The sequence below is a fragment of the Homo sapiens genome, chromosome 16, assembly GCF_000001405.40.
Source record: "Homo sapiens chromosome 16, GRCh38.p14 Primary Assembly".
In the NCBI taxonomy this organism is placed as follows: Eukaryota; Metazoa; Chordata; class Mammalia; order Primates; family Hominidae; genus Homo; species Homo sapiens.
The window spans coordinates 11,426,776-11,452,989 of record NC_000016.10 but is presented as its reverse complement, the minus strand read 5'-3'; the positions used below and the strand labels follow the sequence as shown (position 1 = coordinate 11,452,989).

The 26,214-nt window shown below is 49.6% G+C and overlaps 1 protein-coding gene across 4 annotated transcripts in view; it reads left to right on the top strand.

Annotated features, from left to right (window-relative positions):
* Nucleotides 1-26,214, top strand: part of LOC400499 (putative uncharacterized protein) — a 155,563-nt gene that overhangs the window by 74,588 nt on the left and 54,761 nt on the right. For all 4 annotated transcript variants that reach the window (NM_001395505.1, NM_001370704.1, XM_017023946.1 and 1 more), the window contains 10 exons: nucleotides 2,170-2,381; nucleotides 3,883-4,071; nucleotides 4,917-5,056; nucleotides 6,080-6,242; nucleotides 6,354-6,440; nucleotides 11,914-12,051; nucleotides 12,147-12,266; nucleotides 13,409-13,501; nucleotides 17,111-17,328; nucleotides 21,761-21,954. In NM_001395505.1, coding sequence (NP_001382434.1) covers nucleotides 2,170-2,381; nucleotides 3,883-4,071; nucleotides 4,917-5,056; nucleotides 6,080-6,242; nucleotides 6,354-6,440; nucleotides 11,914-12,051; nucleotides 12,147-12,266; nucleotides 13,409-13,501; nucleotides 17,111-17,328; nucleotides 21,761-21,954 — 1,554 coding nt within the window. The remainder of the gene's footprint in view (nucleotides 1-2,169; nucleotides 2,382-3,882; nucleotides 4,072-4,916; nucleotides 5,057-6,079; nucleotides 6,243-6,353; nucleotides 6,441-11,913; nucleotides 12,052-12,146; nucleotides 12,267-13,408; nucleotides 13,502-17,110; nucleotides 17,329-21,760; nucleotides 21,955-26,214) is intronic.

Sequence of the window (26,214 nt, the reverse complement as noted above, 5' to 3'; positions counted from 1 at the left end):
TAAAATGACTAGAAGCCCTCAGGAAGTAAAAAAGGAAAAAGAAACCAAGAACCAGAAAACTCATCGGACCAGTTAATTCACCTTTGGAGTAACTGGAGATCCAGAGCTTCCTAAAAGATTAGAAATCTTCTGAAATTGAAGAGTTGAGGAAGAAGAATCAGGAATGGCCTAAAGCAGTTGCCCAGTGTCTCACACAGAAGGGCATGGAGAAGAACTGGCAGGAATGTCCCCAGATGGTGACAAGTTTGCAGGACTTTTACTGAATGACCCATGAGGCCACCCAGAGGCCCAGGAGCCAGCCCTGGCCCTGTCCTCATGGAAAGACTCTACACAGGATTTTGGGATACAAATGGAAGGACAACATGTTTTCAGGTCCTGCCTGGGCAGATGCAGTTGTCCTTCCAGCTCCGGAGTTCCAAACCCAGGCCTGTGCCATCCCCATTCACTTTGAGGGGCCGCTGTGGGCTCCCTGACCCATGAGCTGTGTGCAGGATCCTCGGGTACCCAGAGGGGCGCCCTTGATCATGAACCCCGCGTGTGGTCAGCTCTAGGTCTGTTTCCTGCCTTTCCTCCAGCAGCCCCTAGCCTCCCGCAGCAGTGGCCACTCTCTTCTGGTTCTGATCCAGGTCTTGAACTTGGGAGACAATTAGAACCTGGATCCCAATTCTGTCTGAAAGCAACAGAATAACATAATCTATACACTGGCGCATGACTCTTGGCCCAGCCCAATGTAATGAGAAATAAATGAATGACCATGACCTCAAAAGCAAAAAAAAAAAAAAAACAAACAAAAAAACTGAGCAACCAGACAGATGTTCTGGAGGGCCTGAGTTTGCCAGATCACAACTGTGATCTATAAAGTGAAATAAGATCTTTATCACCTTGAAAGAACATGAATGAAATAGAAAACTAATTGGAGACTCAAAACTTGTTTGGAAAGAGGCGCTATACATAGGTGGGGCATGTGCAGACCGGTGGGTTTCCCTGTCAATCAAGCAACTGGGTGGGGACCTGGCTCTCCAGGGATCCGTGCGTTCCTTCTGTTCTTCTGTGGTGCCATCTTCCCGCTTCCCGTGGGAAGGGAGCAACTGGGCAGGGACCAGACTGCCCACTCTTCAATGTCTCCCTATTCTCAACTCCGCGGCTCCTCCTTCCCGTCACTGTGTCTTTGTCCCTGCATCTGAGCCTGTCTGCCTCAGTTTCCCCAGACAGTAAATCTCCTGTCTCCAGCAGGGGTGGGTTGCCTGCCCCTTTGATCAACTCCCCCTTGTCTGTCATTTAGGTATCAGGTAAATTGTCACTTCCTCCTAGAAGCCTTTGCTGACCTAACCAATTTTTATCAAATTCCTTCTTTATTGTTTTTCTTCACAGCCCTCAGCATTTCTACCTGTGTTTTTTGTTTGGTTTTTTGTTTGTTTGTTTGTTTGTTTGTTTGTTTTGAGACAGGGTCTCCCTCTGTTGCCCAGGCTGGAGTGCATTGCACCATTACAGCCACTGCAGCCTCCACCTCAGCCTCCCAAGTAGCTGGGATATAGGTGAGCACCACCGTGCCTGGCTAATTTTTGTATTTGTTGTAGAGATGGGGTCTCGCTTTGTTGCCCAGGCTAGACTCAAACTCCTAGACTCAAGTGATCCTCCTGCCTTGGCCTCCCAAAGTGCTGGGATTACAGGCATGAGCCACTGCGCTTGACCTTCCAATGTTTTATTATGAAAAAATTGCATTCAGAAGAGTTGGATGAATGGTACAGTGATTACCAGCATCCTCTCATACTAGGTTCTGCTATTAACAGTTGACCCCACTTGCCTCATCACCTCTCTCTCTGCATATCCAGCCCTCTTATTTTTTCCGTGCAGTTGAAAGTAAATTGTAGACATGGATACCTCTCACTCCTAAACGTTTCAGCATGTGTTTCATTAAGCACAGTGAAATGTATAAATCTCCATGGTGCGATTGGATGAGTTTTGACAGGTGTATACATCTGGGTGATCCAAACACCTGTCATGAGTCACAACATTACCAACGTCCTAGAAAGTTCCCTCATGCCTAGTTATTCCCAGTTTTGAGATTTGTCCATTGCGGCTGTGATGAGACTCTCGGGACCTCCAGCTGCCTGCTAGAAGCTTCCTCTCTACCCCGTGTACCAGATTCTCCTTCTTTGTTGCTTGCAGGAGCCTTGAACCTGGATAGTCCATGGCTGATGGTCTCTGCAGCTCACAGGCTATACTGGCCACACCGAGCTGTGTTCCAGGCTGTCCTGGAGCTAACGCTGGGCAAGGCCTGGACCCTAAAGGACCTGGTGGTCAGCGTGGGCTGCAGGAGTCAGGGCCCCAACAGGGAAGGCAAGATCCAGGTTTACACCGCAGCTACCACCTACCTCCGGGTGAGCAGTGCTCGGCCCCCGATATATGTCTGGTCCCCTGCCACTGAGATCTTTTTCTGGTGCAGAGGCGGATGAAAGCTGAGGTCTGTGGGCAGATAGCAGCTCACAGGTGTGTGAAGTCTGGCCCTCCCAGTGCCTGCAACTATCAGAGTTTAGTTCCTAAGTGACGTAGAAGAATTAGACCTAAAAAAAGAAAATCTAGATTTCCCACATCCCTGCTCGGCAGATGACGGGGAGAGAAATATAAAATAGGAAAGCAAGTCAAACGGGACTTTGGAAACAGATGGACATTCGGCTTTTGCCAAAAAAACAGAGTGAAAATTTCTAGGACGTAAGTCGGTTTGATGCCGACTACTGACTGTCATGATGTTGCTTCTCTGCACACGTTTGGTGCAGAAGCAAGAACAGGTTTGGGAGAAAAGCCATGAGTGTCATCTGCAGGGCTGAGGGAGCCTGGTGGGTGGACTGTCTGGGTGATGCGTGGATGTGGGGAAGGTCTGGGCCTTGATTGGGCTCATCCGAGGGCAGCACAGTCCCCTCTGAGGCAGGGCTGGGTGGCACCAGGTTGGAGTCAAGAGCGGTGGTAATCTTAGGGACCATGAGGAGGCCTCTGTGTAACAGAGGATGCCAAGACAGGAGAGCAAGGTGTGGTCGGCTAGCCGGCTCCTGCCCTTCACCCAACCAGAGGGCATGGCGGCCTGGCCCGGGGTGGTGGCAGTGGAGGTGCCGGCAAGTGTCCAGATCCTGGAGATGCCAGATTTGCTGATGGACTAGTGGTGGGGAAGGAGTGAAGGAAAGGAAATAAATGGCTCTGAGGTCTTGGCCCAAGCATCTGGTGGGATGGAAGTGCCATTCTAGGAAATGGGGAAGTTGATGGTGGGGAACCAAGGATCAGTGACATGGGACAAAGTGTTACGAAGTTCTGGTATTGGGTTGGAGGCTCAGCCACGCCCAAACCCTGTCTTGTCCTTGTCACTTCTCCTGGTGAGACCCCTGAGTTGTGTGAACAAGGGATGGTGGCCAACAGGGAACCATCCCATGGGGGGCTTGTGCCAGGGTGGCGGCTGCAAATGCCCTACCTCCCCTAGCTCTGAAACGAGCCAGATGACACCCACCTCTTCCTAGGACTCCCGAAGACCATGGTGATGGTGCAGGGAGAGAAGGCCACCTGCCAGCATGTGCCCTTCAGGGTACAGACACCCTGGCTACTAGTAATAGCGGCCCAACAAGATCAGATTCCCTCCCCAAACTGAAGAGGAGAAAAGGAAATTATTTCTGCTCAGGGTTGGGGCAACAGAGAGGAGTTTTTCTTCTTGTTTCAAGGCCCTGTAGAGAAAACTAGCCTACCTGCACCAGTCAGGTTAGGCGTCAGAGAAATGGCATTGAAGGGGTTTTGAGGGATGAAGAGGAGTTCACCAAGCAGGAAAGAGATGAAAGGGTATCCCAGGTGGAGGAAATAGGGTGTGCAAAGGCCTTGGTCCCCCTCCTCACCTCATTGCAGGTTTCCACAGTGACAGTCTTGGCACAGAGCCTCTTCCACAGCTGGAGCGAACTCGAGTCAGCCTGGAACGCAGCAGTGCAGGGCGAGATCCATGCTGAGAACAGCCGGGACCGTAAGATCCTGAACTGCTGGTTGAAAGGCCCCCAGCAGGAGCTGAACCTAACAGCGGCCTACAGGCACCTGGAGTGGGTAAGAACCCAGGAGGCCCGTGCAGCCAAGAGACCACCGAATCCCTCACCTCGGTTTCCTACCTCTCTCCCTGCTTCGGATGGAAAAGGGCTTTGTGCTACTGGCTTGGCCTGTGACCTTGGGCCTCCTGGAGCCTCTATTTCTCTTTCTCTTTCCTTTTCCTTTTTCCTTTTCCTTCTTTTCTTATATATTTTTTGACAGTTTCATTCTGTTGCCCAGGCTGGAGTTCAGTGATGCTGTCATAGCTCACTGCAGCCTCGAATGTCTGGGCTTGAAGGATCCTCCCCGCTCAGCCTACTAAGTAGTTAGAACTATAGGCACATGCCACTCATGCCACCATGCATCACTGACGTTTGTTTGTTTGTTTGTTTGTTTGTTTGTTTGTTTGTTTGTTTGTTTGTTTTAGCAGACACGAGGTATTGCTGTTTCCCAGGCTGGTCTTAAAGCCCTGGGCTCAAGTTACCCTCCCATCTCAGCCTCCCGAAGTGTTGGGATTACAGGCATGAGCCACCATGCCCAGACAAGCTTTAGTTTCTTGGCCTGTGAAATGGACCCTGGTCACTTTAGCAAAGATCCAGGAGCAAAACTTGGCTTCCTTTAGCTGAGAAGTCCAAGTTCTTCTTTCCCCCGGGTACCTAGGGAGGTCTAGCCATGGTGGTGTGCCGGTGGGATCCTGTGGTCTGATCAGGGTGGAGGCTGTGGCTCAGTTCAGTAGCCATTCTCGGATAGTCATTTCTGGGGGTGATGGGCAGGTTGTGGGGGGCTACCTCTTGCCTTCCTGCAAGGCAGGTCTGCAGCTTGGTCCTGCTGGCCCGTCCCTCTCTTCAGCCTGGATCTTGTTGCAGCCCCGGAAGACCCAGGTGTCGCTCACGGCTGTGCGGATTGGTGCCCAGGGCCAGCCTCGGGGCCTGCAGTTGGAAGGAGAGCTGGAGGAGCTGAGGCAAGACAGGACATTGTACCGGAAACGGGGGGCCTTGCTCCTTAGGTATGTGCGCCCCTTCTGCTCAGCTGACACCCCTGCAAGTTTCCCCTTCTCTAGCACGGAGCATCCCCAGGGGGAACAGGATGGGCAGAGCTACCTGGAGAATCTCTGCTGACCTGCTGGGGCCCAGATGGAACCTAAATCCCAGAGAAGAGCCACCTCCCCTGAAAGCTCCCACATCCCTCGCCCCCTCCATTAGTTGCTGAGGTGGGAGCAGAGTTAAGAGTCTCATCATCCTAGCCTGGAGCTGCTTGGGGCGTCTTCTCATTTCCCAGAGACGAGCTCATTCAAACAGTTCCCTGTGTGCAGGGAACAGCACGAGGTTAGGACGAGCAGAGCCATCTTGGACTGCGGGCTATGCATTGAGCAGCTGTATGGCCTTAGATAAGTCAGCTACAGCCTAAACAGAAGCAGTGATGACAAAGGAACAGCAGCATCGTTGGCAGAGTGTTCGTTCGTGTTTTTATCCCATTTACATTCATTGAGCACATACTATGGACCAAGTGCTCTTCTGGGCACATGGAAAATGGCAGAGAACCGGAATGTCAGAAACCTTTGCCCTTGGGGAGCTTGTGGTCGTTTCATGTATGTTATCTCTAACCCTGACCACTGTGTCCAATCAGTATTATTTTAGCCTCCGTTTTACAGATGGGGAAACTGAGGCACAGAACAGTCAAGTCCTTTTCCCAAGGTCACACAGCTAGTGAAAGACCGTGCCTGGATTCTAATCCCAGTCTGTGTGACACCAGATGCTGTGTGTCATCTATCCTCTTGGGTCTTTGCTGTCAAATGGCGACGGGGACCCCAGCCATGCCCACTTCTCTGGCACAGTGAGGTGGTGAAGGGTTCTGGATGCCACATTGTAAAGCATAGGGCTGCCAGGTGTCCTGATGTTCTCTTCTCTGTGGCAGAGTCTTAACTCTGCAAGCTCGTGACAGGCCCAGGCTGAGACCGTGGGGCACAATTGTCCCCTGGCACTGCCAGCTGCTTTAATGGCTTTGGCCTGTTTTTCCCTCTGCACACCAGGCACCCGTTGCACCTGCCCATCCCGCAGAGCCTCCTCCTGCAGGAGACCTTCACAGCTGATAGGCGACACCAGCGCTATTCCCTGGAGACTAGGGTTGTCCTGAATGGCCGAGAGGAAACCCTGCAGACCATGGTCCTGGGCTGCCAGGCCGGACACCCCTACGTGAGTGTGTCTGGGGCATAGCCCGGAAGGGGCCTGAGAGCCAGAGGAAGGCCCCAGCTGCCTCCTCACTCCCTGCATGCGTGTGTACATGTATGTGGTTGTCCCTCCCAGGTCTGTGCAGGTCTGATGCATCCATACGATGGCAAAGTCATCCCCAGGAACACAGAGGGGTGCCTGGTTACTTGGAATCAGCACACGGTAAGAGCAGAGACCCCAGAGACTTTTGCACCCCAGCCAGCCCTGGTTCAAGTTGCTGTCATCGCTCAATAGGATTGAAAACATGTTATCTGGACTGAGTGCAGTGGCTCACACCTGTAATCTTAGCTACGCAGGAGGCTGAGGTGAGAAGATCGCTTAAGACCAGGAGTTTGAGATCCATCTGGGCGACATATGGAAACCCTGTTTCTACAAAAGAAAAAAAAATTGTTTAATTAGCCAGGCATGGTGGCATGTGCTTGTAGTCCCAGCTACTGGGGAGGCTGAGACAGGAGGATCTGATTAAGCCCAGGATGTTGAGGCTTCTGTGAGCCATGGTTGCACCATTGCATTCCAGCCTGGGCAACAGAGCAAGACTCAGACACCACTCCCCCGCCCCCCAACCTCACACACAAAAAAGTTCTCCTGGCCAGGTGTGGTGGCTCATACCTGTAATCCTAGCACTTTGGGAGGCCAAGGCGGGCAGATCACCTGAGGTCAGGAGTTCCAGACCATCCTGGCCAACATGGTGAAACCCTGTCTCTACTAAAAATATAAAAACTAGATGGGCATGGTGGTAGGTACCTGCAGTCCCAGCTACTCAGGAGGCTGAGGCAGGAGAACCCAGGAGGCAGAGGTTACAGTGAGCTGAGATCACGCCACTGCATTCCAGCCTGGGCCACAGAGCAAGACACTGCCTCAGGAAAAAAAAAAAAAAGGTTCTCCTGACTGGGTTCTCTGTTTCATTTGGTCCTCCCTAGTACAGTCTATGTGACAGTCAGAGGGATATATTCTGAAGGCCAGCACAACCCTGCCACCCGCATGCTCTCAAACTCTGACAGCCTCTCTTGGGATAAAGCCCCAGTCCTGTCCCCTCAGCCCTGCTTCGTGGCCTGCATCTGCCTCATCCAGCCTCTTCGCATTTCCTCGCCTGGCTCTTTCCTGCCTCGGGACCTCTGCGTGTCCTGTGTGCCTGGAGCCGTCACCCTCTCCTTCAGCTTTGCCTCCTCCCTTCTACTCATCTTTTAGGATTGAGCTCAAGCATCCTCTCACCTGACCCCCAGACCACCTCACACAGACCCGTGCTTACCCTAGCGATGCCTTATATCTTTTTCTTTCTTTTTTTTTTTTGGAGAAAGAGTCTCACTCTGTCGCTCAAGCCGGAGTGTAGTGGTGCAGTCTCAGCTCACTGCAACCTCGGCCTCCCAGGTTCAAGTGATTCTTCTGCCTCAGCCTCCCAGGTAGCTGGGATAACAGACGTGCATTCCCACTCCTGGCTAATTTTTGTATTTTTAGTAGAGACTGGGTTTTACCATGTTGGCCAGGCTGGTCTCAAACTTCTGACTTCAAGTGATCTGCCCGCCTTGGCCTCCCAAAGTGCTGGGATTACCGCTGCACCCAGCTTGCCCTATAGCTTTCGCTTTTAGTACCTATCACAAATCCCAGTTCTTTTTTTTTTTTTTAAAGACAAAGTCTCACTCTGTCACCCAGGCTGTAGTGCAGTGGCACAATCTCAGCTCACTGTAGCCTTGTCCTCCTAGGCTTAAGTGATCCTCCCACCTCAGCCTACCAAGTAGCTGGGACCACAGGCACACATTACCACCACACCTGGTTATTTTTTATTTTTATTTTTAGTAGAGACAGAGTCTTGCTATATTGCCCAGGCTGGTCTTGAGCTCCTGGACTCTAAGCCATCCTCCCATCTTGGCCTCCAGAATGCTGACATTATAGGTGTGAACCACCGTACCTGGCCCCAGTTCTATTTTTGTGTGATCCATCAATCCCTGGCTCCTCTGGAAAGCTCATGATCTCCATGAGTACTTTACCACCGTAGCCACAGGGCTTGGTACACAGTAGGTGCTCAATGAATAGTTGCCGTCATGATGTTATTTAACACCCATTGCATGCCAGGATCCAGAGCAGAGGTCAACAAACTTTTCTGGAAAGAACCAGATAGTAACTAGTTTAGGTTTCATGGGCCACATGGTTCAGGTCTTGTTCACTCATAACTACCGTTACAATTCAAGAGCACCGTGAATAATACGTAATGAACGGGCGTGGCTGTGTCCCAACAGGGCTTCACTTGCAAAAACAGGCCACATTTGGACCAGGGGCTGTAGTTGCTGACCCCTGACTTAGAGGGTCTTTTTTGAGGCAGGGTCTTGCTCTGTCACCCAGGCTGGAGGGCAGGGGTGCGATCATGGCTCACTCACTGCAGCCTTGACCTCCCAAGCTCAAGTGACCCTCACACCTCAGCCTCCTAAGTAGCTGAGACCACAAGTGTGCACCACCACACCCAGCTCATTTTAAGATGTTTTGTAGAGATGGAGGTCTCACTGTGTTTCCCAGGCTGGTCTTGATCTCTTGGATTCAGGGGATCCTCTTGCCTCACCTTCCAAAGTGCTGGGATTGGGCCAGGTGTGGTGGCTCACACATGTAATCCCAGCATTTTGGGAAGCCAGGGTGGGTGGATCACTTGAGGTCAGGTGTTCGAGACCAGCCTGGCCAATATGGTAAAACCCCATCTCTACTAAAAAAAAAACTATAAAAATTGGCTGGGCATAGTGGCAGGTGCCTATAATCCCAGCTACCCCGGAGGCTTAGGCACAAGAGTCACTTGAAACTGGGAGGCAGACGTTACGGTGAGCCGAGATCCCAGCACTGCACTCCAGCCTTGGTGACAGAGAGAGACTTGGTCTCAAAAAAAAAAAAAGTGTTGGGATTACAGATAAGAGTCACCACCCCTGGCTGAGGGTCTTGACATGTGGCTCCCTAGGGGTGAAACTTGTTTTTGCCTGTGTGTCCTTGGCAAATTATTTCATCTCTCTGGACCTCAGTTTCCTTGTGTGCAGAATGGGAGCAGCAGTACTCATCTCTATGCAGTGGCTGTGACGATTACAATGTAGCGTTGTAAAATGCCTACTAGAACCCCATCCGGGTCTTCTTCCTGACACCTCTAGGAGGAGTTGATACTCTGGGAGAGCATCGTATTTTTCAGCAAGCATTTATGGAGCATCTACTGTGTGCAAGGAAGATAGTCATTGTTTCTCTCTCTCTCTCTTTTTTTTTTTTTTTTTTTTTTTTTAAGACAGAGTCTCACTCTGTTGTCTAGGCTGGAGTCTGGAGTGCAATGACTTGATCTCAGCTCACCGCAACCTCCACGTCCCAGGTTCATGCACAGACCCCTCCGATCATTTTTTTTTTTTTTTTTTTTTTTTTTTTGAGACTGAGGATCGAGTCTTGCTCTGTTGCCCAGGCTAGGGTGCAGCTGCGCAATGTCGGCTCATTGCAACCTCTGCCTCCTGGGTTCAAGTGATTCTCCTGCCTCAGCCTCCCGAGTAGCTGGGATTACAGGCTCCCATGACCACACCCGGCTAATTTTTGTACTTTTAGTAGAGTTGGGGTTTCTGCATGTTGGCCAGGCTGGTCTCGAGCTCCTGACCTCAGGTGATCCCCCGGCCTCAGCCTCCCAAAGTGCTGGGATTACAGCCATGAACCACCACGCCCGGCCATTTCTATTTGCAAGATACACAACAGCCCCTGGGAAGGAGGGTGAACCAGGCAGCTGTTGAGCATTGAGACCCACCTTTCTGGGGGCTCCCTTCACCATTAGTTAAACGAGGCTGCGTGTGGCTCCCCGGGGATAAGGTAGTACAGTTATTGGAGCTTCTAGGGAGAAACAAATGGCAGGATGACAGCCTTAGACACCTGCAGAAGTGGCTCCCGATGGTGTTTGCTGTTTCTTAAACCAGAGATTGCAGAGCCGGCGCCATGGGCCATATTCAGCCTGCAGATGGGTTTTGTTTGGTCTGCTTAGCATTTAAATTTTTTAAGGAAATTAATTGCTACCATTGAAAATCAGAAGATTTTGAGTAAAACCCAGATTTCCAGTGTTTATAAGAAGAAAATCAGACGGTGTGACCACACCAAGCCTCAAATCCCAGCTGACAACAACAGGGTCTGACTGAGTAAATGGCAGTCGTTTAGTTTCATATAATTTAGCTGTCTGCTCTTTTTAAAACCGTGTCTAGGCTGGGCGAGATGGCTCACGCCTGTAATACTAGCACTTTGGGAGGCCGAGGCAGGCGGATCATTTGAGGTCAGGAGTTCGAGACCAGCCTGACCAACATGGTGAAACCCCCATCTCTACTAAATACAAAAAAAATTAGCCAGGCATGGTGGCGGGCTCCTGTAATCCCAGTTACTCAGGAGGCTGAGGCAGGAGAATCGCTTGAACCTGGGAGGTGGAGGTTGCAGTGAGCCGAGATCACGCCACTGCACTCCAGCCTGGGTGACAGAGCGAGGCTGTCTCTAAAATAAAATAAAATATAAAATAGAATAAAATAAGCTGTTTAATGACATACATTTTTCTCTCGTCTTGGACCCTTATTTCTCTTCCTCCATCTTGGTTCTAAAGTAAAGCCGAGCACCCTTTAAAGATGCACTCCAGTGATAAAGCTCCTTGGCAGGCATTTTTAACTTCTCAGTCAACACAGGTAGGAAAAGATGGCAACATGCTACTGTGTACTTGGCCTGTGGCAGAAGCTAAATGATTGTTGAGTGAATAAATGATGGAGTAATTGTGTATTAGTTTGCTATGGCTGCCATAACGAATCTCTGAAATCTTAGTGGTTTAAAACGCCACAGATTTTACAGTTTTGGAATTCAGAAGCCCAAAATGGATCTCACGTGGCTAAAATCAAGGTATTAGCAGGGTTGTGTTCCTTCTGGAGGCTCCAGAGGAGAGTCTGTTTCCTTTCCTTTTCCAGCTTGTGGAAGCTGCCTGCATGCCTTGGCTCATGGCCCCTTCTTCCACCTTCAAAGCCAACAGCGTGGCATCTTCCAGTCTCTGTGTGACTCTGACCCTCCTGCCTCCGTCTCATAGGACCCCTGTGATTACTTTAGGGCCACCCAGATAATCTCCTCATCTCAAGATCCTCAATCCAATCACACTGCAAAGTCTCTTTTGCCATGAAAGGTCACATATTGACAGGTTCCAGTGATGAGGACATGGATGTCATCGTGCAATGAGTGTTCTTCTGCCAGCTCCACTATGAGTTACTCATTCTTTCACTCTAGCACAGCTTTGACCTTGGGGTTTCAGGCTATAACTAGTGATTCTGCATTTGTCCAAATATTTATTGAGCACCTACTACATGCCAGGACCTGTGCTAAGTATTAGGAATATGGCAATGAACAAAATAAACTACTCCCAAGGCACTTTCTTTGAGCAAGACACATTCACATTTGTTCCATCAAGCCCACCCTGCTAATCTTACCTGTAGGCACTGAAGTTTACCATTCCTGTGTACCCATCCCCGCTTCCTGCCCTATAAGTGGAAGAGTGTAGACTGCTCCATAACCCATCAATCTTTGGACTACTTTCTTCTGACCACTGGATTCCCAGGGTAGCTTCTGCAGGCACATAGAGATGGGATGAGACCTCTCTCAGTGCCCCTGGTTCTCACACACCCAGGCTAAGAACAGAGAGGTCGAGGCCACTTTGAAAGTCCACCGGAAAGTTGTCCTGCACTTGAAGGGTTTGCATCATGACAGATCTCAGCATGGGGAAATCCGGCACAGCCTGGCCCTGGACTTGGCCCATTCCTACCAGGTATGGGTCCCCAGATTGGGCAGACACTGGTTTGTGCCCTCCACCCAGAGCTTGGCTGTTAGCGGAAGTAAAGGGTGTTGTCTATTTCTTCCCAGCTGAGCTTCCCCCAGGCCCTGAGCTTGGATGGGGGCATCATCTTTAGACAGAGTCCCCAAGGAACATTCAACTTTGGCATGGATGCACGAGCTGCCGTCAATCACAACGTCACATCCCAGGTCAGGAGACTGAGTTCTGCTCCCTTGCCGAGGGAGGCCGGGTCTTAATAACCTTTAGTGAAGGTGCCCTGTATGAGATGTCTGAGGAGGTGGCAGGAGACATGACCCTGGGGAGCCAACAGCACAGCCCTTATTTTGGCAGTGTGTGTGTGATTAGTCAGGATGCATTGACTGTTGTTGTAAACAATGTTTGGCTCTTTGTGAAAGGCCAGTGTTCATGTGCAGTTCAGCGTGGCTCTGCTCCATGCAGTCTCTCAGGATCCAGGCCTCCCCACCTTGTGGCTGTGCCCCAGCAGGCAGATGGAGGGACAGAGAGTGGAGAATTATGTAGGAGGCTTTTATGTGCCAGACCCATAGGTAGAAAGGTCATTCCTGCCTGGGTTCTCATCACATGATCCCACCTAGCTGCAAGGGAGGCTGGGAAATGTAGTTTTAGCTATATGTCCAGGAAGAAAAGGAAATGTAGTTTGGTGAATATATAGCAGCCATTGTAGGTATATTTACTCATTCATGGCTGTTCATTTGTTCATCCGTGGACGTGTTCATTCCTGTCCATTCATTCAGCATGGATGGGTTGTATCTCTGCTGGGTGACACTGTCCCCATCTCTGTTCCCATCTCTGAGGAGCTTTCAATCTAGTGGGCTTTTAGTGTTATATAAGTTCAAGTTCAATTCCAAGTTCCACTGTTAACTAGCTGTGTAACCTTCGGTGAATTACTGAATCCCACTGAGCCTCAGTTTTGCTAGCTGGGAAATGGGATGGTAACAGCAACCCAGCAAAGCACTGCTGAGGATTAAATGAGGTGGTCATTGTGAACCTGGTAGCACAGTGCCTGGTTCAAGGTCAGGGTCAAGTAGAAGGTGGTGTGGCTGTGGGAGGCATGAACAGGCAACATGGCAGGGAGTAGGGGGTTCCAGAGTGGTCTTCCCAGCCCCCCATCCAGGATGTCACTTCCTAAGCAACCTTTTTCAGTAGCACAGCCTGCATAAGATTGAGGGCTGAGGAATATTAAGGGAGGACAGAAGTTTCTGGTTTGAGCTTTGGGCATATTCTGGGATGCATTTGCCCAGTAGCCACCTCCTAGTGTTCTGCATCTCTCTCTCTGTTCCCTCTGACCCCTCTTCAACTCTCCCTGCAACAGGCCTCGGTCCAGCTGAACGGATCTGACTCCGACTTTGCATTTTTCTTCCAACTCAGGCATCCTCACGGACCAACATTTCCTCCAAACTTCCAGGTGTGGACGTTGCTCCCTTGGAGATGACCTTGACTCGCCTGCCAAGGGTTGTCTCTGAGCAGCTGGCCTGCTGGGAGATGGGCAGAAAGAAGGCAGGATGGGGGCCCGAGGGAGGGAGCCCACACTTGCAATGTTGTGCTTAGCCAAACAGCCCTGTAGAATCAAGAACAGATGGCAGGGAGGTTTCCACATCCATCATTTGGAAGTGATGGTCCAGGCTGAAGGGGGTGAAGGATCACATTTCACTCTTGAAAATGGGCAGAAGCAGAGTTTTCCTCCAAACTCTACCCTATATTTGGGCTTGGGAGAAGCCATGTAATCCTTCAAGAGGGCTTTGTTGACCCGGGGCATTTTGGAGGTGGAGAAAGACATCCAGGTGGGAGCCCTGTCCCCCCCACCAAATTTGTGGCTTCATTGAGCAGGCTGTGCATGGTGTGTGCACAGAAATTAGGGGGTGGCTAATTCAAGGATGTGGAGGTGTAAATAGGGAATCCCAACAGGGATGAGGCCCTCAGGAGACATGGGGCACACCATTAATTTGACAGCAATAAAAAAAATTAGAGGTGGGGTCTCACTATGTTGCCCAGGCTGGTTTTAAACTCTTGGCCCCAAGCTGTCTTTCTGATTCAACCTTCCAAAGTGCTAAGATTACAGGCATGAGCCACCGCACCTAGCCCGATAGCATTTTAAAATTTCTTTTGAGACAGGATCTCACTCTGTTAGCTGGGCTGAAGTGCAGTGGCATAATCATGGCTCACTTCAGCCTTGACCACCTGGGGTCAAGCGGTCCTCCCACCTCAGCCTCCTGAGTAGCTGGTACCACAGGCACCTGCCACAACACCCAGCTAATTTTTGTACTTTTTTTTTTTTTTTTTTTTTTTGCAGAGACAGGGTCTCGCTATGTTGCCCAGGCTGGCCTTGAGCTCCTGGGCTCAAGTGATCCTCTTCCCTTGGCCTCCCAAGGTGCTGGGATTACAGGCATGAGCCAATGCGCCCAGCCCTGATAGCATTTTTTTAAACACCTGCTGTTCATTCCCTGTGTATTGGGTTTTAGAAACTTGAATGGAGCCCGAGAATGGCTCTGAATGGAGGGAACTGCTTATTCTTAGAGGCATGAGCTTTCACAGGTTGATGTCCCTGAAGTCAGTCTGTATCTTCACCTTGACACAGGTCACCGTTTCACTAGCAACCTTTTGCTTTTGTGGAGTTCCCAGAGATCTGGCCCATTTGAGAGCTGCTGGCATCTTAGATTGGAGGAAATGTCATCATATTAACCATTTGTTCCAGGAGCTGATGTCTGTGAAATGATTGCGTGGCAGGCTCTGTTCTAAACCCTCTTTGTGGATTAGCTCATGGTCACCTCATGATGCTATTGTGGGGGGGCATGGAGCACCGTTGTCATTTTGTGGGTGAGGCTCTGAGATTTAGAGAGGTGGCGTGACTTGCCCAAGATCATGGAGCTCACCAGTGGAAGATCTTGGGTGGGAACCCAGGCATTCTGGTTTCAGAGCGCATGCGATCGATCCCCCGAACTCATCGGGGAGTGGGGGTGGGTTGCCCTGGAAGCTTGGATGCTGGGTCATCTAATGAGTGCAAACATTATTATCATTAGTATTTTTCGAGACCGAGTCTCGCTCTGTCACCCAAGCTGGAGTGCCGTGGCATGATCTCGGCTCACTGCAACCTCTGCCTCCCAGGTTCAAGCGATTCTTGTGCCTCCGCCTCCCAAGTAGCTGGGATTACAGGCATGCGCCACCACACCCAGATAATTTTTTGTATTTTTAGTAGAGATGGGATTTCACTACGTTGGCCAGGCTGGTCCTGAGCTCCTGACCTCAAGTGATCTGCCTGCCCCAGCCTTCCAAAGTTCTGGGATTACTGGTGTGAGCTGCTGTGCCCAGCTCAAACATTAATTTTAATTTTAATTTTTAAGACAGGGTCTTACTCTGTCACCCAGGCTGGAGAGCAGTGGCATGATTATGGCTCACTGCAGCCTCCACCACCCAGGCTCCAGCCATCCTTTCACCACAGCCTTCTGAGTAGCTGGGACTACAGGTGCATGCCACCACGCTCAGCTAATGTTTTAATTTTTTGTAGAGATGCGGGTATTGCTCTGTTGTTCAGGCTGGTCTCAACTCCTGGCCTTCAGCAGTCCTCCTGCCTTGGTCTCCAAAGGGCTGGGGTTACAGGTGTGAGTCATCGTGCCCTGCCAGCCTGTGGATTTTGACAGATTGATACAACGTAATGGATCTGCCATTACGGCATCATTCATAACAGTTTCCCTGCCCTAAAAAATCCTCTGGGTTCTACCTTTTCATCCCTCCTCCTACACTCCACCCCCTGGCAACCACTGATCATTTTACTATCTGTGGTTTTGCCTTTTTCCAGAATGTCATAGAGTTGGAATACAGTATGCAGCCTTTTCAGATGGGCTTCTTTCAGTTAGTAACATACATTTAAGTTTCCTCCATGTCTTTTTCAGCTTAATAGCTCATTTTATATTAGCACTAGATAATATTCCATTGTCTGGGTGTATCATGTTTTATTCAGCAGCTCATCTAAGGAAGCACCAGGCATTCTTTTAAAACCTTTCCAGGCCAGGCATGGTAGCTCACGCCTGTAATCCCAGCACTTTGGGAGGTCGAGGCAGACAGATCACCTGAGGTCAGAAGTTCGAGACCAACCTGGGAAACATGGTGAAACCCCATCTCTACTAAAAATACAAAAAAAAAAATTAGCTGGGCATGGTGGCGGGCACTTGTATTTCCAGCTACTCGGGAGGCTGAGGCAGGAGAATTGCTTGAACCTGGGAGACAGAGGTTGCAGTGAGCCGAGATTGTGCCACTGCACTCCAGCCTGGGTGACACAGCAAGACTCCGTCTCAGAACAGAAAAGAAAAAAAAAAAAACTTTTCCTGTGATTGTAATGCACAGGCTGGATTGAGAACCATGGGGCTAAACCTGCTTTGCAGATGGGGAAACTGAGGCCCAGATCAGGAAAGGGATAGGCTCACGTCCCTTGGGAGCTGGTGGAGCCTTGGACCTCTCTGCTCCCACCCTCCACTGCTCCCCTCCCCACTGCTCCCTTCAGCACCCTTGTTGGGACTAGCTACATGTTCACCCCAGCCTGACCACTTGGGTACCCAGATGCCATCCTCTTTGAACCTCAGAAGTTCTGGGTCCTCTGGTTCCCGTGGGGCACTCTCTGGGGCCTCCTTTTCTGTGGAGGAGTTGCAAAGATGTCCTCTGCTTCCCCCACCAGCCCCCTTCAGGCACCAGCACGAGTTTTAGAGCTAGGCAGACTCAGGTGGCATATGTGACCCTTTCAGTGCCTCAGTTTCCCCATTTGTACAGTAAGAACTCCCATTTCACATGTGGTGGAAAGGACAAGATGGGACTGTACCCCTGGGCCAGGAGCTGGAGCCAGGGTAGGCTATCTCCCCCATTCCTCCCTCTGTCTCATTTCTCCTCTTAATTGTGTGCTGTCTACCATGATTGGTGAGTGCTCAAAGTTGGAGTGGCTCAGGAGGGCTTCATGGAGAAGGAGGCAGCCCTCCCCCACACCCAGGATCCCATAGACCCTTCCTGTCCCTCCCCTGCCTCCCTGCAGGTGCAGGCAGCTGCCGGGCGCTACAGAGTGCGCAGCCTCAACGGGTCTCTATCTGTGCAAATGTCTGGCCGGGAGCTGGTTCTGCTGGAGGTCGACGCCAGCCAGGACACTCGGAGGAGCAGCCGGGGCTGGGGTGTGAGTGTCCTTCTCCACCAGGCTGTCCTCAGTGCCCCCAGGGCTGTTCGGCTGCAGCTGTCTGCAAAGATCACCCCAGCAAGGTAATGGTCCCCAGGTGGCCTGCGAGGAGGCAGGGAGACCACAGAGGCCAAAAGGCTGGTGTCCTGGGATATGGGAGATCCTCACTCAGAGGCCCCTCTTCTGTTCCCCTGAGACCACGCCCAAGTCAGCCCCATTGGTGCCACTGAGGGCATGAAAAGAGGGTGGTGTTCACTTCTTCACTTTGGCCCTTTGTTTCTTTTTTGCGTTGTTATGAGAGTGTTCGTTGTAGATGGCTTAAAGGATAATGTATAAAGGGCTGGGCACCTTGAGTCATACCCCAGGGCTTTGGGAGGCTGAGGCAGGAGGATTGCTTGAGTTCAGGAGCTCAAGAGCAGCTTGCACAATATAGCAAGACCCCATCTCTCCAAAAAATAAAAAAAATTAGCCAGGTGTGGTGGGGTGCACCTGTAGTCCCAGCTACTCAGGAGGCTGAGGTGGGAGGATTGCTTGAGCTCAGGAATTCAAGACCAGTCTGGACAACATAGACCCCATCTGTACAGAAAATTTTTAAAAAATAGCCAGATGTGGTGGCATGCACCTGTAGTCCCAGCTACTTGGGAGGCTGAGGCGAGAGGATTGCTTGAGCTTGGGAGTTGGAGGCTGCAGCGAGCTGTAAGATTGCAGCATTGCAGCCCAGCCTGGGCAATAGTGAAATGAGCCTGACTCTAAAATAGTAATAATAATAATCATGTAAAAAGGAATGAAATAAAAATCACTAGTGATCCCAAGGAATGTGCGTCTCCGTCTGGTCTCATGTCTGAGGATATATTTACCTACTCATGTGTCCACTATGGTGGGGTGCTCAGGAGCCTAGGGTCCAGGGGTGACCACTTGGGTTCAAGTCCCAACTCGGCCACGGCTGCCTCTGGGACCACTCGCCCTTCTGTGCCTCAGTTTCTCCACCTGCTTCTTAGGGTTGTCCTAATGGTGAACTGAGCCCTGCATTTGAATTCCAAGCCAGGGCCAGTGAGCATGCTCAGTAGCTGGCTACCATCTTTGCTGCAGGTGTAATCGGAAAAAACAAACTCTTTTCTGCTGCTCTCCTCTTAATGCTCAGTACAGGATAATTCTGTGGCCAGGAACAGGGGGTCTTTTTCCCCATCAAGCAGTTCTCTGGTGGACACTAACTGGGTGTCCTACAAATGGTCTCGGTTCTGACTCTATATACCTGGAGGTAGCATCAGACCCCACATGTTAAGTGTGCGAGACTGCCCCCAACTTCAGACACCATTCCCCTCAGCCTCTCTAGTAGCTGGAATCACAGGCTCACCACCGCACCTGGATAATTTTTGTACTTTTTTTGTAGGAACGGGGTCTTGCTATGTTGCTCAGGCTGGTCTTGAACTCCTGGCCTGAAGCAATTTCCCAGCCTTAGCCTCCCAACATGCCAGGACTGCAGGCATGAGCCACCCTTTATACATTATTACTTATAGAGTATTATAATTCTTTGTGTTATATACCATGAATGCTCTCATAACGGTGGAAGAACCTAGGTTCTGCTGCCCACTGTGCTTGGTGAGCTCTCCAGAGCTGGAGTGGCTCGGGAGGGCTTCCTGGAGGAGGGATCCTCCCCCTCACTCAGGTTCCTATAGACCCTTCCTGTCCTCCCTCTGCTTCTGAGCCTTCCCCTGCCTCCTGACCAACTGGCTGTAACTTGGAGGTCCCCATAACCTCCTCCCATCTTGTGTCTGATCATTCGCGAAAATGGCTCACAGAACTCAGAGAAACATTTTACATATATTTATTCATTGATTATAGAGGATATGATTTGAGAACAGCCAGATGGAAGAGACGCATAGGGCAAGGTATAGGGCAAGGGATGCTGGGCTTCCCCGCCCTCTCTGGGCTCACCACCCTCTGTGTGTTCAGCCCAGAAGCTCTCTGTGAACCCCATGGTTCAGGGATTTCTATGGTGGCTTCATCATGCGGGCATGACCGCTTATTAACTCAACCTCTAGCCCCTCTCCCCTTCTCAGAGGATGGGATGTGGGGCTGAAAGTTCCAACCTCTAATCATGGCTTGATCTTTCTGTTGACCAGTTCCTGTCCAGGAACCCACCAAGAGTCACCTCATTAGAACCAAAGATGCTCCTGTCAACAAAAGAGACTCTCTAGTTCCAAGGGATTAGGAGCTCTGTGTCAAGGATTAGGGACAGAGACCAAATATATATTTCCTATTACATCACAATATTATGCTGGTATTTTGAGTACTGCACATTCTGGTACAAATTGGGTCTCCACTAAATATTTCCTCTGCAATCCCATGTTTGTTCCAGCTTTGGCATGGATTTAAGGAGACCCTGGGCTGTGGACATGGTCCTAGATAACCTTGTCTTCAGCATTGCCACCACAGCTGTCTGTCCATCCACCTGTCCAACTGCCCATCCTTATCCCCAGTCTGAAAAGGATTCGAGGCAAATTATTAAAATGCACCTTGTTGTAGGTCAGGAGTTGGCAGACTCTCAGTAAAAGGCCAGATGGGAAATATTTTCAGCTTTGTGGGCCATATGGTCTCTGTTGCAACTACTCAACCCTGCCATTGCGGTACAAGAGTGTCGTAGACAATTCATAAATAATGGGCATGATTGTGCTCCAATAAAACTTTATTTATAAAAACAAGTGGTGGGCCAGCTTTGGCCCACAAGCTGTAGTTTTCCAACCCTTGTTCTAGATTTTAAAAAGATACACGAGGAAGCTAGGGGGAAAGGAAAAGAAAAATGGGAAGCTGCTCAAAGTAGTTTCAGTAAACAAAATTCATGCCATGAGTTCCTCTGTGTTATTTAGAGCTCAGCTGAAGATTTGGCTCTGAGCTTCCTAGCAGCCAATGCAAAGGGAGAAACCAACAAGTAGTAGTATTTGCAGTGGCCCTCAGGAAGTGCACACACACAGTCCACAGCTGTGCACCACGAAATGCATGGCTGATCTTGTTCCTGGTGGTGAAGCTCAAGGGAAATCTCTCCAATGGTGTCATGTAGGAACTCACTGTGTGATGATAGGAACTGTGTCCCCTGCCCCAATTTTCCAGCAAGTTTAACAGCAAGCTTCTTGGGGCTGTTCCTTTTCTCACATTTATCAATCACTCATTATGACCCTGGAGTAGGAACCTTATATTCCAAAGTTCGTTTAATTCTAAACAACCCTATGCTTTAGGTACTGCTAACTGCTTATTTGAGCTTTGGGCATATTACTCTCTCTCTACCTGTTTCCTCATCTGTATATTAGGGTTCATAATATTCTCAAAACTCACAGGGCTTTTGTAAGGAGTCAGACAATGTGTCTAAAGTGCACAGTGCATGTCAGAGTCTGTTGGTTAGATGTTGCTGCATAACAAGCTACTCCAAAGCATAGAGATTAAAGAACAACCATTTTGTTTGCTCACGATTCTGTGGGTCAGGAACTTACACAAGGCTTAGGCAGTTCTGTTCTGTGTGGCTTTGGCAGGGGTCATTCTCTGGGACTCTTGGCTGACATCAGCCTTCAGCTGAGTCAGTTCCCAGCCAGATGTGTGCATGGGCTGAGGACGGGGGTGGACTGGGAAGTCCAGGAAGGCTTCCTTTACATGTCTGGCACCTCGGTGCTCTTCCATGTGCATCCCCCTCTCTCTTTTCAAGTGGCTGCTTGGGCTTCCTCACATCATGGCGGTCTCAGGCTGGTCAGACTTCTTACCAGGTGGCTGGGTTCCAAGAGGCAGCATTCATGTGAGAAGGTGAAAGTTGCAGATCTTAGGGCCCAATCTTGAAAGTTCTACATTGTCACTTCTGCCACATTCTACTGACCAAAACGTAGGTCACAAGGCCAGTCCTGATTCAAAGGGAGAGGACATAGATCTCACGTGTTAATGCAGGAGTGGCAAAGTCACCTTGCAGGAGAGTATGGGAAGAGCTGGCCATAGGTGCAAACACACTGTTTCACACCTGGTTGAGTACCTGTCAGTATCAATATCAATATCAGTTCAAGGCCAGGCACAGCAGCTCATGCCTGTAATCCCAGCACTTTGGGAAACCAAGGTGGGCAGATCACCTGAGGTCAGGAGTTCGAGACCAGCCTGGGCAACGTGGTGAAACCCCATCTCTACCAAAAGTACAAAAACTAGCCAGCTGTTGTGGTGGGTCCCTGTAATCCCAGCTACTCAGGAGGCTGAGACAGGAGAATCGCTTGAACCCAGGAGGCGGAGGTTGCAGTGAGCTGAGATTGTGCCACTGTACTCCAGCCTGGGTGACAGAGTCACTCTGTCTCCTAGGAAAAAAATGAAAAAAAGCTCAATATCAGTATGTCCACTTTATTCCCACTTTGCAGAAGGAGAAACTGATGCCCAGAGAGGTTATGTCCTTGTCCCAGGTCATCCTGTTAGTGAGCAGCAGCATTGGGGTTGGAACCCAGGTTTGCCTGACTACAAAGCCCATGATCTTAACCCCCTTACTTCGCTGCCTAGGATTTGGCTGTTTTCCAAGGCACTGCTGGACCAGAACACAGCACAGTTGCTCCTCAAGGCATCTGAGGAATGGAGGGGAGGCCGGATCCTGACTTTCCAGAGCCAAACCCGGCACACGGTGGCTGGCTGGGCAGCGATGCCCCGCCTCCTGACACTCACAGGAAGGCTGAAGCAGAAGGAGACACTTCAAGAGGGTGAGGGCCTGGGGAACGCCATGGGGGCAGCGGCAAGCACTTTCTTTGGAACTGCAAGGTAGATTCATTTCCACCCAAGTCCAGTGATGCTCCAACTCCAGCATCTCACACTGGCATATCTACAGGTTTAGATAAAGGGGTATGGATGATTTCCCTTTGTGAGAAATGAACATGCATTCTGACAAAGAAAATCTGCTCACTAAAAACTGAATAGGGTTCCTTATGCAGGACTTGTCAGAGCCTTTAACACGCTAATGGACATTGTATATCTCCAGGAGGGAGAGTTGGGTGCAGGGTTTCCCAGGCATATATTTTGGAATACCTTTTATTTTGACGTAACACTAGACTTGTAGAAAAGTTGCAAGAACAATGCAAAGAATCGCACAGCCCCTTTGCCCAGATTAATCAGTTACTAACATTTTACATTTCCCTTATCATTCTCATATTCTCTCTATATGTATGTATATTTAACATATTATTTTATTCCTGAATTGTGTTTTCCTAGATTGCAGACATGATAATTCTTTTTTTTCGTTTTCTTTTTTGAGACTGAGTTTTGCTCTTGTCCCCCAGGCTGGAGTGCAATGGAGCAATCTCAGCTCACTGCAACCTCCGCCTCCCGGGTACAAGCAATTCTGCTGCCTCAGCCTCCCGAGTAGCTTGGATTACAGGAACACAGCATCACACCTGGCTAATTTTTTTTTGTATTTTTAATAGAGACGGGGTTTCACCAGGTTGACCAGGCTGGTCTCGAACTCCTGGCCTCAAGTGATCGATCTGCCTCCACTCCCAAAGTGCTGGGATTACAGGTGTGAGCCACCGCGCCTGGCAGATATTTACATTTTGAAGGGTACCGGGCAGTCATGTTGTGAAACAGCCCTCCGTCTGGGTTTGAGTGACACTTCCCGATGCCTGCTTTCAAGAAAGCCTGTTGGTAGGACACCACAGAAATGAGGCAGCCTCTTGTCAGGTGGCACCTTCTGTCTGTTTGTCCAACGTTGGTGACATTAGCTTTGATCTCTTGATTAAGGTAGGGTTGCCAGGTTTCTTGGCTGTAAAGCTTTTAGTTATTTCCTTTGTAATTAATAAGTAACTGGGGTGAGATACTTGGAAGTCATGTAAGTATTCTCTGTTCTCATGGAATTGTGACCCTCCTAGTTTTAGCACCCACTGATGATGCTTGTCTGAGTCTGTTACTGTTATGATGATTGCCAAATGGGGATTTTTCTAATTCTTTTTTTTTTTTAAATTTATTGCTTACAGGCCAGGCATGGTGGCTCATGCCTGTAATCCCAGCACTTTGGGAGGCTGAGGCGGGCAGATCACTTGTAGCCAGGAGTTCAAGACCAGCCTGGCCAACATGGTGAAACCCCGTCGCTACTGAAAACACAAAAATTAGCCAGGGGTGGCGGTACACGCCTGTAGTCCCAGCTACTCAGGAGGCTGAGGCACGAGAATCACTCGAACATGGGAGGCAGAGGTTGCAGTGAGCCAAGATCACACCACTGCTCTCCAATCCTGGGTGATAGAGTGAGACTCTGTCTCAAAAAATAAATTATTGCTTAGGGCAGAATGCTTTCCCTGCTAACTCCCTTTGCCCTTCCCTTCCCTTCTATATTAGTCTGTCCTTGCAATGCTTTCACATCCGGAGACTGGGTAATTTACAAAGACGTTGGCTCATAGTTCTGCAAGCTGTACTGGAAGTATGGTGCATCTTCTCCTCTGCCAGCACGTCACAGGGCCAGAGCAGGATTAAGAGAAAGAGGGGGGAGCTGCTACACACGTTAAACAGCCAGATCTCACTATGGAAAGGACAGTACCAGGGGATGCTACTAAACTGTTTAAGAAATCCGCTCCCAGGCCAACCAGTCACCTCCCACCAGGCCCCACCCCTGACGCTGGGGATTACAATTCAACATGAGGGTTGTTGGGGACACAGGTCCAAACCATATCACCCTCCTTCTTTCCTTCCTTAACCTCAGTAGGGACTCATGGATTCTTATTTTATTCAGTAATCTGTCATGATCATTATTTCAGTGCCGGATTTTCCTAGATTTGCCCCGTGGGAGTCCCTACGAGATGGCTTCTCCCCCTCCCCCTCCCATTTCCCATGCAAGATTGCAAGCATATAGAAAAGTTGAATTGTGTGCAAACACCCACGTGCCCCCCACCTAAATGTTATAATTGTTCGCATTTTGTGTTATTTTCTTTATCCCCTATCCACTCTCCATCTGTCAGAGGTGTGTAAACCAGAGCAACTCCATCTTGAATAGGGGCTGGGTAGAATGAGGCTGAGACCTACTGGGCTGCGTTCCCAGGAGGTTAAGGCACTCTTAGTCACAGGAAGAGATAGGAGGTCGCCACAAGATACAGGTCATAAAGACCTTGCTGATAAAACAGGTTTCAGTAAAGAAGCCGGCCGAATGCCACCAAAACCAAGATGGTGACGAGAGCGTCCTCTGTTCGTTCTCATTACTACATTCCCACCAGCGCCATGGTCATTTACAAATGCCATGGCAACATCAGGAAGTTACGTCATATGGTCTAAAAAGGGGAGGGATGGGCCGGCCGCGGTGGCTCACGCCTGTAATCTCAACACTTTGGGAGGTTGAAGCAGGTGGATCACCCGAGGTCAGGAGTTCGAGACTAGCCTGGCCAACATGGTGCAACCCCGTCTCTACTAAAAATACAAAAAAATTAGCCAGGCGTGGTGGCACATGCCTGTAATCCCAGCTACTCAGGAAGCTCAAGCAGGAGAGTCGCTTGAACCTGGAAGGTGGAGGTTGCAGTGAGAGATTACGCCACGGCACTCCAGCCTGGGCAACAAGAGCGAAACTCAGTCTCAAAAAATAAAATAAACACAAAGGGGAGGCATGAATAATCCACCCCTAGTTTAGCATATAATCAAGAAATAACCATAATAATGGGCAACCAGCCGCCCTCAGGGCTGCTCTGTCTGGAGTAGCCATTCTTTATTCCTTTCCTTTCTTAATAAACTTGCTTTTGCTTTGCACCGTGGACTTTCCCTGAATTCTTTCTTGTGGGAGATCCAAGAAGCCTGTCTTGGGGTCTGGATCCGGACCCCTTTCCTGTAACACATCCATCTATGCTGTTTTTGACGCTTTTCAGAGTGAGTTGTAGACATCAGAACACCTTACACCCAAATAGATTATAATACACATCATGGACTAAAGCTCAAAATGTGCTTACAATTCTCCCTGCTCTTAGTCTCCTTCCCTTTCTTCGTTCCTCTGATATAAAATTTACATAAAAAGAAATGTGCACATCTCAGCTGAGAGCAGTGGCTCACACCTATAATCCCAGCACTTTGGGAGGTGGAGGAGGGCAGATTGCTTGAGCCTGGGAGTTTCAGACCAGCCTGGGCAACATAGGGAGACTCTGTCGCTACAAAAATTTTAAAAAAATTAGTTGGGCATGGTGGTGCATGCCTACAGTCCCAGCTACATGGAGGCTGGGGTGGGAGGATCGCTTGAGCCTGGGAGGTGGACATTGCAGTGAGCCATGATTGTGGCACTGCATTCCAGCCTGGGCAACAGAATGAGACCCTGTCTCAAAAAAAATAATCAAATTAGTGTCTAGTGGTTTCTCCTTGTGGCTTTAATTTGCATTTCCCTGTTGATTAATTATGTTGAGCACTTTTTTTTTTTTTTTTTTTTTTTTTTTTGTGAGATGGAGTTTCGCTCTTGTTGCCCAGGCTGGAGTGCAATGGCGCCATCTCAGCTTACCGCAACCTCTGCGATTCTTGTGCCTCAGCCTCCCAAGTAGCTGGGATTACAGGCAAGCGCCACCATGTCTGGCTAATTTTTTTTTTGTATTGTTAGTAGAGACGGGGTTTCTCCTTGTTGGTCAGGCTGGTCTTGAACTCCTGAGCTCAGGTGACCCACCCTCCTAGGCCTCCCAAAGTGCTGGGATTACAGGTGTGAGCCACTGCGCCTGGCCAAGCACTGCTTCATGTGTGTTATTTGCTCGTGTAGCTTCCTTTGAGACAGGTCACATGAATTTTTTTTTGCCCATTTATTAAATTGTTTGTCTTTTATTGATTTGTAGATACTCTTTATATATTCTAGAATAGGATATTTTCTTCCATTTTGATTTTTATGCCTTTTTTTTTTTTTTTTGAGATGGGGTCTTGTTCTGTCGCCCAGACTGAAGTGCAGTGGGATGATCATGGCTCAAGCATCCTCCTGCCTTAGCCTCCCAAGTAGCTGGGACTACAGGTACCTGCCACCATGCCCAGAT